The sequence below is a fragment of the Homo sapiens genome, chromosome 4, assembly GCF_000001405.40.
Source record: "Homo sapiens chromosome 4, GRCh38.p14 Primary Assembly".
NCBI classification, from domain to species: Eukaryota; Metazoa; Chordata; class Mammalia; order Primates; family Hominidae; genus Homo; species Homo sapiens.
The window spans coordinates 34,591,692-34,607,433 of record NC_000004.12 but is presented as its reverse complement, the minus strand read 5'-3'; positions in this window follow the sequence as shown (position 1 = coordinate 34,607,433).

The window sequence follows — 15,742 nt, the reverse complement described above, 5'->3', positions numbered from 1 at the left end:
GTACCTCATTGGGAGGCAAAGCCTTTCTAGTGAGTAGTAAAAGCAGATATTGCTCAAACACTCCTCTGAATCTTTAGAGGAAAGTGCTGGCTGATTGTTGAATAATAGAGGAATATACAGGTTTATATAAAAGTTTTCCAGAGAACCAGAATCAATAGAATGTATACAGATATATAAAAGGGAATTTATTATTGGAATTGGCTCATGCAATTATGGATGCTGTAAAGTCCTACGATGTGCTTTTTGCAAACTGAGAATCAAGAAAGCTGGTGTTATAATTCTGTCTGAGTCTTAAGGCCTGAGAACCAGGGGAGTCAATAGTGTAACTCTTAGTCCCAGGCTGAAGGTCTAAGAACCAGGAACTCCAAAGTTCAAGGGCAGGCGAAGATGAATGTGACAGCTCAAGAAAAGGGCAAATGTGCCCTTCCTCTGCCTTTTTGTTCCGTGTGGGCCCTCAGTGAATTCGAGGATGGACAATCTCATTAGTGGGAGAGGATCTTCTTTCATAATCTCCTGATTTAAATGCTGATCTTTTTCAGAAACATCTTTAAAGACACACCCAGAAATAATGATTTAGCAGCTATCTGGGCATCCCTTAACCCTGTCAAGTCGACACATAAAATTAACCATCACAATGTTAGTCAATTCTAATTTGATAATTACAAATTTGTCCCTTATATTGATTGAGTAACTATCTCCACTTCACTAGTTAGAATAAACTAAAATTTCTGCTGGAATGATATATATGTATATATACATATACATATTTGTATACAACTGTTTTCATTTTCCAGACATTTAAAAAACTACTTTGTTGAGGTATGAGTGACAAACAGAAAGCTGTACATATTCAATGTATATACCTGGATGAGTATATGGATAAGTGTGCAACTGAGAGATCATCATCACTATCACTCAAAGTCCAGATATATTTTTCAAATGGATACTATTTGTAGCCAAATATATCCATGTACCTTTAATAGTAATAACATTTGTGAATAATTAAGAATATTTTCTAAAGTATTTCCTGAAGAATCCAAAAAGAAAATTTGTCACTAGTTTTAATCAGCAATTCCATAGACAGCATTACAACACCATAATATATATTGATTAATGAACAAGTGTAGAGTTGTAAGTATCTTGCCAGCAATTACATAGATGAAGTTATTTTACCCATGCTGAAATGTGTGAACAATTTGACTATAACTTTCATAATATATCTTTTGAATTACTAGTTAAGGGACCATAATAAGAGCTCTTATGTAGAATACTTGTTCTACTAAATTTCTAGGTGTTTATCCTTCTGTAAGGCATTTTAAGCCCTGTAAACCTGTTTCTCTATTTGTGAAATAGCCAAAATGTTAGCAATTGGCTACGTAAGGTTCTTAGAAAAATTAACTGTGACAGCCTATGGCAAGTGCTTACCAAAAAGCTTAGCAAATAATTGTTTAAAATAATGTTGATGGTAAAAGTAAATAATATAGTTTGACTATGTGTCCCCACCCAAATCTCATCTCCACCATGGTAAGATGTGCTTGCTTCCCTTTCACATTCCTCCATGATCATAAGTTTCCTGAGGTCTCATAGTCATGCTTCCTGTTAAGCCTGCAGACCTGTGAGTCAGTTAAAACTCTTTTCTTCATAAATGACCCAGTCTCAGGTAAAAAATGTATATAGCACTGTGAGAACAGACTAATACAGTAAACAAAAAATATCTTTTGAAAGCAGTTGATCTGCAAAGGTGGCATAGGCATTTTAAAAAGGGTATTTCCTAAATGTCCTGAAGCAAATCTTTATGCACAGTCTCTACTTCTATAATTTCGCAGCAGTCTATTGTTTCACCTGGATTTTTTTCTCTCATAACTTTCTGTAATAAAATACTGTTTTATCAGTTTCTATACACTTGTCTTTTAGTATCTTCAACTATATTTGTAACATCATTTTTTAAATATTTATGATGGGTATTTCTTTTTCTATCTGGCTTTATTGAAGTAGAATTAACCCCCAAAAAGTATATACTTAAGGTGTACAACTTGATATTTTGATATACATTGTGAAATAATTACCACAATTGAGCTCTTTAAAATATCTATCATCTCACATCTTTATTATTTTTTCCTTTATTTTCATTTTTGTTTGTTTTTTAGTGAGAACATTTGAGATGTATACTCTTAGCAAATTTCAAGTATATAATGGTGTTGTTAACTATAGTCACATTGCTGTGCATTAGATCCCCAGAAATTATGCATCTTGCATAACTGAAACTTTGTAGCCCTTGGCCAACATCTTCCCATTTCTCCCTCCCATAAAGACTCTGGCAACCACTATTCTACTCTTTGCTTATGTGAATTTAACTATTTTGGATTCCACATATAAATGAAATCATATAGTGTTTGTCTTTCTGTGTTTGGCTTATTTCACTTATTGTCACAAATGCCAGGATTTTGTAAATTTTTAAGGCTAAAAACTATCTTATTATGAAAAATATATATATATATACAGTCATTTGCCGCATAATGACATTTCTGCCAATGACAGTCCCCATATATGACAGTGGTCACGTAAGATTAAAATACCATATTTATACTGTATCCTTTCTATGTTTATATATGTTTAGGTACACAAATAGCATTGCGTTACAGTTGCTTACAATATTCAGTACAGTAACATGTCAAACAGCTTTTTAGCCTAGAAGTAATAGGTTCAACCATATAGCCTATGTACGTAGTAGGCTATACCATCTAGATTATTTAAGTATGCTCTATGGTGTTTGTACAACAAAATTTCCTAATGATGCATTTCTCAGAACGTATCCTTGTTGTTAAGCAACATGTGACTATCTTATTATTAGAATTAGTAGTTGGTGTAACCACTATCATCATCATCATTACTGGTTAATTTGGGTTTAAATTTTTTAATTAATTTTGACTTTTTGTAGGAAATTTTAAATTTTGCAAAAATATTTCAGTGCATTCGTAAACGACTTTTTTTCTGAAAATATTTTTATTTTTATGTATGTTAATAATATATCATTTTCATCTCTAACTTATAATTTGGCCTACTCATCTTTTTAAAATTCTGTAAACTTTTTTTTTTAGTTTCCAACATAAAACACTTAAAGTTACAGTGGCTGAGGGAGAGAGCAGTTACTTTCTTTTCAACATAGACTTTTGGTGGTGAGCACTCCACTACTGGCAATGGAGACTATATCACCACAAACGGCTAACTCCCTATATGTAATGACACCATCATTCTCTACATTTGAGGCAAAAGGAATCCTTAAGCCCTAAACATAATATCCACTTTTCCAACAGCAAGATAAAGTTTTGAACCTTCTCGTTAAAGCCATTTCCTGAAAGTTATACATACCCTGCCTTATCTTACCATCCAACCACAGCTGTTAGAGAGGTCAGGACAGACAATCCCTGTTGAAGTGGGAAGGTAATGCACTCAGCTAAAAATAATTGCTCTATTATTAAAGAAGAATGGAGAGTGTAAACAACTAGATGATATAGGAGTTAAGAAGGAATTACTTAGGCAGACAGCAAGGGCATGGGAATACTTGGTAAGGCCTTTCTTTTTAATGAAAAATAGCTCCAAATCATTTTTTAGCAAAGAGCAGCCTGCAAGCTGGGAGCTTGCATGAGTGAATGCTGGCAGGAACCAAGGACTAGACGTTTTCAAGATGGCGGCTCCATCTTCCCTTCTCTTTGTTAGCCAAGTGTACAGTAAGAAGCAGACAAGATGGCACCAATCAACTGGAAAGTCCACTTGCATAATAAGATTAGGGCAGGACAACCAGCCTTCCCCAAGCACTATGTAGACTTCATGCCTGATGGAACAAATCTGTGAGCCCTGTGTAATCAGATACTGCCTTATCCAGCTTGCCTTTAAAATCTGCAGAGATTCACAGCCTCCCACTTTTTCAGAGGTTTCTCTCTCATGCAAGGAGCTTCTCTCTTCTCTCATTTCTTCTATTAAACTTTCCACTCCTTAACCCACCCACATGTGTCTCTGTCCTGAATTCTTTCTCAACCATGAGAAAGAACCAGGGTATATACCCCAGACAGTGTAGCCGCTTCATAGAGAGTAAACAACAACTAGCTAGTTTTTTGGGAACAACTAGCAGTTTTTTCCAAAGTCACCTGCAAAGTTCGTTTATGCATTGTTACATTTTCTATGTTCTAGCTGATTAATTTATTAATCTTTATTATTCTATTTCTTCATTTTCTTTAAGAGATGTTGGACCTCTCAGCTGAAACCCTATAAGCCAGAAGAGACTGGAGGATCTATATTCAATGTTTTTAAAGAAAAAGATTTTCCAAGATTTTTTATATCAAGCCAAACTAAGCTTCCTAAGCAAAGGATAAATAAGATTATTTTCAAATAAGCAAATGTTGGGGGAGTTCGTTACCACCAGATCTGCCTTACAAGAGATCTTTAAAGGAGTACTAAATATAGAAAGAAAAACCATTATCAGCTAATACGAAAGCACATTTAAATACACAGACCAGTCACACTATAAAGCAACCACACAAACAAGCCAGCATAATAACCAGCTAACAACACAATGACAGTATCAAATCCACACACATCAATATGGACTTTGAATGTAAATGAAATGAAGTCCCCAGTAAAACTACACAGAATAGCAAGCTGGATAAAATAGCAAGACCCAAAAGTACTCTGCCTGTAATTCAGGCTCTTTGGGAGGCCAAGGTGAGAGGATTGCTTGAGGTCAGGAGTTCAAGACCAGCTGGGCAACATAGTGAGTGAGACCCTGTCTCTACAAAAATAAAAAATAAAATTAGCTGGGTATAGTGGCATGCACTGGTTGTAGCAGCTACCTGGAAGGCCAAGGCAGGAAGATTGCTTGAACCCAGGAGCTTGAGCCTGCAGTGACCCATATCACGCCATTGCACTCCAGCCTGCGACACAGTGTAAGAACCTGTCTCTTAAAAAAATAAAGAAAAAAACAACACAACATACATTCTCCTCATTACCTCATGGCACACACTCTAAAATTGACTACATAATTGGATATAAAACAATCCTTAGAAAATACAAAAAAAAACCCCACAAAATCATATCAGACACACTCTTGGACCACAGCTCAATAAAATAGAAGTCAAGACTAAGAAAATTGCTTAAAACCATGCAATTACGAGGAAATTAAACACACTCATGATTGACTTTTTGGTAAATAATGAAATTAAGGCAGAAATCAAGAATTTTTTTAATCTAATGAGAACAAAGATATAACACACCAGAAACTCTCAGAGGCAGCTAAGGCAGTGTTAAGGGGGAAACTCATAACACTAAATACCCACATTAAAAAGCTAGAAAGATGTCAAATTAACAACCTAACATCACAACAGAAAGAATTAGAGAAGCAAGAACAAATCAACCCCAAAACTAGCAGAAGACAAAAAATAACCAAAATCAGAGCTGAGCTGAAAGAATTGAGACACAAAAATCCATTCAAAAGATCAATGAATCAAGGAGTTGTTTTTTTGAAAAAAGTAATAAGCGAAACAGGCCACTAGCTAGAATAATAATAAGGAAAAGAGAGAATAGCCAAATAAATACAATTAGAAATGAAGGAGATAATACCATTGATCCCACAAAAATTAAAATAACCATCAGAAGCTACTGCAAACGCGTCTACAAATACACCTCTATGCACACAAACTAGAAAACTTAAAAGAGATGAATCAATTCCTGGATGCATACACTGTTCCAAAACTGAACCAGGAAAAAAATAATTCACTGAACAGATTAATAATAGGTTCTCTTTTAAATTATAATGTTGGCTTTTAAGTTTTTTCTTTTTAAAGTTTTTATAACAAATCAATTAGGACTAGGCTTTACTCTGGTATAGAGTTTTTCTTTTCATGTGTACTATTTTATTTTATTTTTATTTAAAATAGGTAAGTACCTTAAATACTTCCATAAATGCAAATATTTCTTTTTTTTTCTTTTTTTTTTTTTTTTTTTTGAGACGGAGTCTTACTCTGTCGCCCAGGCTGGAATGCAAATATTTCTTAGGGTAATAGGCTAGTTCTAGTGAGTTACTAAGTAAAATTTTAGTTGTAAGGAGTGGGACAAAGTAAGGAAAGGAGCACAGGGTTGCATATAAGCTCCCCACCACAGCACTGTTCACATACACTTGTTACCCAGCACATAGCTTCTTCTTTGAATGCATGAAACATTTTATAATATGATAATAAAAAATAATGAGCCATAAAACTGTCTAGAATGACATCTTTATATTTCTGTCTGTGATCTATCTATCTATCTATCTATTATCTATCATCTGTTATGGGTTGAATTGTGTGCCCCAAAAAATTATGTTGAAGTCCCAACTCTCAACACTTAAAATGTGATAGTAATTGGAAATAGGATTATTGCAAATGTAAATAGTTAAGATGAGGTCCTATTGGTGTCAGGTGGGACCTTACTCCAATAAGGACATCAGTCGTTATTCTTACAAAAAGAGAGATACATAGAGAGAGCACTGTGTGACAACAGAAGCAGAGATTGAAGTAACACATCTGAAAGCCAAGGAATACCGAAGATTGATGGCCACCAACAGAAGCTAGGAAGAAGCAAGAACAAATTCTACCTGGAGTCTTGGAGGAAGCATGACCCTACTGACATCTTGATTTCAGACTTCTAACTTCTAGAACTGAAACAGAATAAATTTTTGTTGTTTTAAAGCTACCTAGTCTGGAGTTCTTTCTATAGCAGCTCTAGGAAACTAATTACCTCCATCTGTATATGCACCTTTTCATATATCTATTTATAATCATCATTATCTCTACATCTGGACACATAAATCAGTTTGCCTAGGAGCAGATTTTGACAAGAAGTTTAATCTGAAGGTAACTTCTTAGGAAGTGTTCCTGGAAAACAACAAAACTCTGGGAAACTAGGACAGGAATAGAAGTAGTACAAATAAAGGACAATATCAAGCAGTGTCTTTCAGTAGGTAAAGTTGCCCCAATCCCAGAGAGGAAACTTAGTAGCTCACAGCCAGAATCAAGGGGAGTGTTTGTACCACTTCAATTGGTTAGTCATTTTTTAAGGCCTGTGGTGGGAGAGAGAAGGGTGATCACAAATTCCCAGGAAATGTTATCTCTCTACAAAAGTCCAAAGGGTGTTCTATCAGACTCAGGCCAACCTCCAACAAAGAGAAACAGATGCTAGTTGTTGGGAGTGAAAACACGGAGTCAAGTGTGACTAAAATGATGAAAGTAGCTGAGAGGCACTGCTAGAGCAGAGCACTGACAGTAAATACAATAGATATTTAGGTAATTTCTAAAAATGATCACAATGCTTCTTTCAAAATGATTCTTTATATTTCTCCAAATGACTGATCATTTACATTTATCCAAATTTAAGCCCATTGCTGATTTTCAAGAATAAATGTGAATTGCTTTTGTTCTTAATTAAAAACTATTTTCTAGGAAAAAGATTATAAAGTATTATAGATGCTCTTCTATCCTGACTTACTATGAGTCTACTTTACCATGAAATTCAGCCTTTGAATTATTATGAGTGAACCAGTTTGGTGCCTACAACTTAACATTATGATCACAGAAAAAAGAATAAAAGACTCTCACAATAAAAAGTAATCTTTGTGGCATTACTCTTTTAACACACTTTAAAGGTATATCCTCCAGTATGATTTGCTAAAGCTGACTCTCTAGAAATATCTCTCCTAGAATCTCTAGAATCTCTAAAACATCTCTTCTTTAAAATCCACTTTCTCTAAATGGGGTGTTATTTGGTGATTCTATGCTAATTACTAGAAGAAAACTAGAACCAACATAAATACATCTAACAAAAGTGCCCTTCACTAATTTGCATATGATAATGTGAAGAGTGTTCTTGAAGACATTAATATATATGTGTCACTATAGCATATACACATATTTTTCTTTAGTTGTAAACAATAAGATGACTGTCTTTCTAAAAATTTTACTATTTCACCTTTTCTCCTGTTGCAGTGCAACAGACATGTATGAGTGAAAGAAAAAGCATGACATAATAGATGCCAACCATATGTCTCACAAGTACTCAGTGAGAATAAATCTTGTTAAGTCAGCAAACCTTTCTCAGGTGACATTCACAAATTTAAAATTTGATCTTCAGCCATTTTTTAAAAAAAATCCTTGAAACAACCACTAAAACCTTTTCTTTTGAAATCTTACTAAATTAAATATAATTTAACATCTACTTTAGATCATCTATGTGTTTCTTCATTTTTAAAGGATGAAATAAGCAATTAAGCATTTCAATTCAATTTCTCTTCTTCTAAGTTAAACTAAGATAGTGTTCAACTAGATTTTAGCTGGGCAAATATTCTTCCACAAGGAATAGATTAATTCCATAAGTTCAAAAAATCTGATTAGGCTTACAAGCGTGCAACAAAATATAGAAACATTATACCTTTCTTTTGTGTGGGAAAACTCAAGTTGTAAATGTGAAGAACAGATATAATTGTAAGGAGGCAGAATAAGGACATGTTAGTAATACATGTATAATTCATTATACATGAATTTATTATATAAAAATTATATATAAAATTTAAGTTTGTATGCATAAAAATGGAAATTCCTAAAGCAAATATTAGACTTGTCATGTGACAAAAATTTACATGAGTTGTTAGCTAATTTGAAATAATGTTGACGCTTACAAAAAATGAGCCACAAACACATGAAAATTCACACCTAGAGAAGATAAAAGCATTTAGAATGACTAAATTTTTGGTTTATTGGTATCTTTTGCTTCACGCTGAGTTCTTTGTAAACTTTATCAGCAGAAGTCTGTATGTATGGCTTTGTTATATCAAGTGATTTTGAAGGGGAAGAATATTTCTGGTGATTTTCCAGTGACAATCATTTTTAAAAGGTGATTTAATGTGACAGAACTGATTTTTGATATATACAAATTACTTATGCTACATCCTAAAAGGAACTCATTTCTTAAATAATCAGGTAATAATTAATTTTCCTTTGAGAATTGAGAACTAAAAAAAGACCTAGAGATCATATGAAAATGCCTAAAAATGGGCCTCTATCCACCAGTTACTTGTAAAATTGTGAAATTGATTCATCTTGCTTATATGCATAAATGATGTATGTCCTCCTTGGTGTGCACCCGTGTTAATTGACATGGATCTATGATAATGTCCCTGGATTTAAAAAAAAAAAAAACAGCAAAAAAAACAAGGATTTTCCAAAATGTAAATTGCCATTGAATCACTTTTGTATTAATGAGTTTACAATTAGTCTACTTTAACTTTGTTTCTTTTCTGTATAGTTTCTTCAAAGAATGGTGTCAGTAATGTCTAATCTATAATTTAGATTGTAATGCTTCTTCAGTTGCTACAAACTTTAAGTGGAAAGTAAAATTTACAAAGTAGAAAGGTAAACTTCAAGATAATAAAATTATGCAAAATCTCACAACAGCCTGTGAAGCATAAGTATTTATAGAACAGGTTATCTTGACCTGTGTTTTTTTTTAATCTCTCCTTGATTTCTTTCAATTATCTGATAAAATAATATATACTATATAAGTCCATATTATATTGATTAGTTTTATTCTGAAATTTCATTAATGAGAAGTTTTCTTTGAACACAGTTGAGGCAATATATTTTAATGTATCATTTTCTTTTAGAAACCCTTCAAATTCAAATAATTACAAAGTAGTCATATTGGTCATATATCAAAAATTTAAAATATTTTTACTAATGTCAATTATCCTTTGCACAGATAGACTCAGAGGCACAATTTTTTTTTTAAAAAATTGAAATCATAAAATAACAGAGGTAAAATACATGTCAAATTGTAGAATATTTTTCTCTGTAGATAAAAAGATATCCCATTGAGGAAAACTGTGAGTCTAAGAATTAAATGTATTTATTCAAATGCCTTGAATATAAATATTTTACCGTATATAATAATTTTCTATTTTCTCTCAAATAAAATGGTTCTTTTTAATTTTAATATTCATATAATATTAATAATTTTAATTTTGCTGACTCTATGTGCAGATGCCATAAATCAGATTCAGAGGCATTTATATTCAAAAGAAAATTTTATTTTGAGACACAAATAAAATTTATTGCACAAGTAAATAGGCCAGTAGTCACATTATGTCAGAAATAATGAAGACTATGGATTACATGTTTTTTCTACCTCAGGATTAGAAAAATATTCACAAAAGTCTTATGAAACCCATACTAATTCTTAGAGTTGATGAAATTTCCAAAGCAAATTGTACTTAACTGCTGTATCTAAGATAAATGATATGCAATCATTCCACAACTGTAGATCATTTATTTAAATATAAGTTTCCTGATATTAGGTAAGTAGAGAAGAATAAAAAGGTTCATTATTGATCGTTAAATAAAAATATTAAATAATTACTATAATAAAATATTCTAGAAGGTATTGAAGGATAGTAACAATTGGACTTCTATTATTGGTAAGGGTTGCAATCCCTTCTGCTACATCAGCACATTCAATATTAGGCTGTAGAATGTTTATATATTATTTATTTATTATTTTATTATTTAAAATAATTCTACAGGAAGTCCAAGCCAGAGCAATCAGGTAAGAGAATAAAACAAAGAGCATCCAAATTAGAAAAGAGCAAGTCAAACTATCGCTGTTCGCCAATGATACAATCATATACCTAGAAAATTTTAAAGACTCCTCTAAAAGACTTCTAGATTTGATAAATAAATTCAGTAAAGTTTCAGTTTCAGGTTACAAAATTAATGTACCCAAATCTATAGCATTGCTCTGCATCAACAATGATCAATGAGAATCAAATCAAGAACTCAATCCCTAGGGCCAGGCACCATGGCTCAAGCCTGTAATCTCAGCACTTTTGCAGGCTGAGACAGGTAGATCACTTGAGGTCAGCGGTTTGAGACCAGCCTGGCCAACAAGGTGAAACTCCCTCTCTATCAAAAAATACAAAAATTAGCCAGGTGTGGTGATGTGTGCCTGTAGTCCCAGCTACTCAGGACGTTGAGAAATGAAAATGCCTTGAACCCGGAAAGCGGAGGTTGCAGTGAGTCAAGTTCACAAGATTGCACTACTGCACTCCAGGCTGGGTGACAAAGTAAGACCCTGTCCCCCGCCCCACTCCCCGCAAAAAAACAACTCAATCTCTTGTACATTTACAACCTTTTATAACAGCTAAAAATAAAGCAAACTCAAACAAACAAACAAAATCCTAGGAATATACTTTACCAAGGAGGTGAAAAATTTCTTCAAGGAAAACTACAAAGCACTGCTGAAAAAAAGTCATAGATGACACAAACAAATGGAAATACTTCCCATACTCATGGATTGGAAGAATCAATGACCATACTGCCCAAAGCAATCTATAGATTCAATGCAATTCCTATCAAAATACCACATGATTTTTCACATAATTTGAAAAAAAAAAAAAAGCTAAAATTTATTTAGAACCAAACAGGGCCCAAATAGCCAAAGCAATCCTAAGCAAAAAGAAGAATCCTAAGCAAAAAGACCTCCACAATAATGTGGAGGTTTCATATTACTGAACTTCAAATTATACTACAAGGCTATAGTTACCCAAACAGCATGGTACTATTATAAAAGAAGACACATAGACCAATGGAACAGAATAAAGAACTCAGAAATAAAATCAAATACTTAGAGACAACTGATCTTTGACAAAGCATCCAAAACATAAATTAGGGAAAGGACATCGTATTTAACAAATGATGCTGGGAAAACTGGCAAGCCACATATAGAGGAATGAAGCTAGATTCCAATATCTCACCTTATACAAAAATCAACTCAAGATGCATCAAAGACTTAAATGTATTACCTGAAACCACAAAAATTCTAGAAGATAACCTAGGAAAACCTCTTCTGGACATTGGCATAGGGAAAGAGTTTGTAAGACCCCAAAAGCAAATCCAACTAAAACAAAAATAAATGTATGAGACTTCATTAAATTAAAAAGCTTTGGCATAGCAAAAGAAATAATCATCAGACTAAACAGAAAACCCACAGAATAGGAAAAAAAAATTGCAAACTATGCAACTGGCAAAGGATTAATATCCAGAATCTACAGGGAACTCCAACAAATCAGAAAGGAAAAAACAAATAATTCCACAAAATAGTGGACAAATGACATAAATAGACAATTTTCAAAAGAAGATATACAAATGGCCAACAAACATATAAAAAAATGCTTAACATCACTAATCATCAGGGAAATGCAAATTAAAACTACAGTGAGATCCACCTACTCCTGCAAGAGTGGCCGTTATTAAAAAGTCAGAAAACAGTAGATGTTGGCATGGATGTGCTGAAAATGCTACACTTACACACAAGAGGTCGGAATGTAAATTAGTACAACCTCTATGAAAAACAGTACAGAGATTTCTTAAAGAACTAAAAGTAGATTTACCTTTCAATCCAGCAATCTTACTGCTGGGTATCACTGTTAAATATATCAAAAACACACCAGCATGTGTATGATTATTGCAGCACAATTCACAATTGCAAAGATGTGGAACCAAACTAAGTGCCTGTTGACCAATGAGTGTATAAAAAAATGTGGTATATATACACTATGCAACACTATTCAGCCATAAAATAGAACGAAATAATGTCTCTTAGAGCAACTTGGATGGAGGCGGAGGCCATTATTGTAAGTGAAGCAACTCAGAAATAAAAAAAAAAAATTACTGCATGTATTCACTTACAAGTGGGAACTAAGCTATAAGTATCCAAAGGCATACGCAGTGATATAATGGAATCTGGAGATTCAGAAAGGGGAGAGTAAAAGGGGGCTAGGGAAAAAAGCCGCATGTTGAATGGAATGCATACTACTAAGGTGACAGATGCACTAAAATTTCATACTTCACCACTGTGCAATTCATCTACATAACCAAAAACCACTTATGCCCCAAAAGCTATTGAAATTGAAAAAATAAATAAAAAATAATAAATAGTAAAAATAAAATAAAGTAAAATAATTCTCTAAATTACAAAACTTGCCAGTATATCATTAATCCCAAACTATGCAACTATTACTTCAACTAAATACTTTAGCTTTCACAAATGTCTAGAATAAAAAGACAATGAAATTTGGATACATTTTTAAAGTTCCATTTAAATATAAGTCTTTTGAGTCTGTGTTAAAACAGAGTAGAGGGTTTTAATGGTTTAAATAATGAAGAGCCTGGAGCACCTACTGACATTTTGCACAAATCAGAGGAACCTAAAAAGCCTGTGAAATACTGTGAAAAAGGTTACTACAGAATATAACAATTTATATTTCCGGATTGAAAAACAGTTTACTTACTGCAACCAAAAACAGTTGCTTATCTATATCATGTAAATGTCTGATAATTATGCTCAAAACCTGTACTGTTAAAAGTTGAAAGTGTTAAACTTTTACATTTCTTACCAAAATACATTTTATATTCTGTTAAAGCCCGTGTTTGAATTAAAAACTAATAATAATTAGAATCATAAATTAGGGAAAATATATAAATAAGTTTCATACAATGAAGCAATGAAATTCGGAAATAAAGTTAGAAAATATTTTATTAATTAAATTTAATAAAACAGCAAAAAAATTCAGAACTTTAAAAAAATCTGCTCTGTAGTTAGAAATAATTGAGCATTTTCAAATTTGAAATTTTTAAATAATTGTAATAAAATAATAATATTGATATAGCCACACCATTGTACTCTACTTTTATGCCTCTACTTGTTGCAAAACTTTGGTCAATTGAAATTAAAAAATATTTTCCGAAAACTTCTAAATCAAGACATAAAATTCCATACATTGACAACACTCTGCTCTTCCTTATGAATCATTGATAATGACAACAATGGTAATTTCAAGACTTTAAAAATAGTGTATTTTTTCTTGATTTTCTGGAACTGAGCAGATTAGCATCTAAAATTATATACTTTTTCATTTTGGAAAGTTTTCTTCAAGACGTATTTATATGAAAACCTTATTGAACTGTGTACATATGGTGCCAGTGACTTGCTGGGAAAATGGTCTGAAGTATCAGGAAAAAATAAACACAAATTTCTAGGTAATTTCCTCTTATCTATTCTATGGCAAGAAATCCAATTATTTCTGAATAACATAATCAATTAAATCAATTAAATAAATAGATTTAAATTATTTGTCAATAAAAATTTTAATGTATTTAGATAAATCACAATCATTACAGATAATTAAGAATTTGTGTAGGTGAGAATTGAAATGAAACTTGGTAGATTATTTGGATATTGATAGGCAACTTTTTTTGCTAGAGCTAAAAATAAAATTTGGAAATTCTGGAACTGAAGATAATTAAAATTATGTAATAATATATAGCAGAGATATGAACATTTTCCTTCAAAGAAATGTATTTTGTGATGAAAATAGATTGATTATAACAAAAATGGTTGCACATATTAAAAACTAACAAAAAGGAATAATTGAAAAGAAACATACATATGATTGGTAAAACAAAACAGAGTTGTATAGTATAGTCTTTGAAACAAAACTAATGCCTATTTCAAATGGAAAGCTATTGAATTTTCTTATAAATCTGATAAATTACATGAATTATTTATTGTTTGATGACAAAATAATACAATATAATTTTAATTTACTAAATTTATGAAACCTTGATAGTTTTCTAGACAGTGTTTAGAAATCTCTGTGTATTAGCAGTAAGCAACAATAAAATTATCTAAAGATGATCTTCTGAAATAAATTTTTTGACTGTTATAGATTAACTGAATACTCTATTGAAAAATCTCAATATTATATCTAATTCAGAAAAATTTTAATGTCAGTAATGCTAATTCAGCAAGAAGGGAGAGTGAAATCATGGAGAATATTATGCATAACTAAAAGTACCTGTTAGGTTTGGAAGTCACATAGTGGCTGATCAATGAAGTCGTTAGAAGAATTTGCTGTAGTTGTCTGTATTCAATCATGACTGAGACAAGAGTATAGTTTAGCTAGGGATTGTAAGAGAGAAACAGTACAAACAAAACCCAAAAAAGGCAAAAAAAAGAAAAGATAATGTTAATATTTCTAAAAATTTTCAAACTATTTGGAATATTATTAGACATTTACTTAAAAGTTGTTGCTACTATTAATATTACATTCTCTGCAATTCAGTATTAAGAATACTGTAACTTATTTAGAGTATTAAAGATAATTTTATAAAATTCTTATATATAATTTGAGATATGTACTAATATTTATCTTTTTTGACAATCTCTGCCTTTTAACCACTATTTAGATCACTTATATTTAAAGCAATTACTGATATTGTTTGGATAAAATGTACTATCTTTGTAATGTTTCTATTTGTTGTGCATGTTCTTTTGCTTGTTTTATATTTTTCTGCTTTCTCTGGTTTTAATTGAGCATTTTATATAATTCAATATTATCATCTCTTGATATATTATTATTATTCCTTTGAAATTTGGTTTCCCTGAGATTTGCAATATACATTTTATTTTATTTTATTTTATACTTAAAATTCAGGGGTACAAGTGCAGGTTTCTTACACAGGTAAACTTGTGTCATGGAGTTCGTTGTACAGATTATTTTATAACCTAGGTATTAAGCCTAGTCCCCATTAGTTATTTTTCCTGCCACCCTCCACCCTCCAAAAGTCCCTATTGTGTGTTGTTCCCCTCTATGTGTTTATTTGTT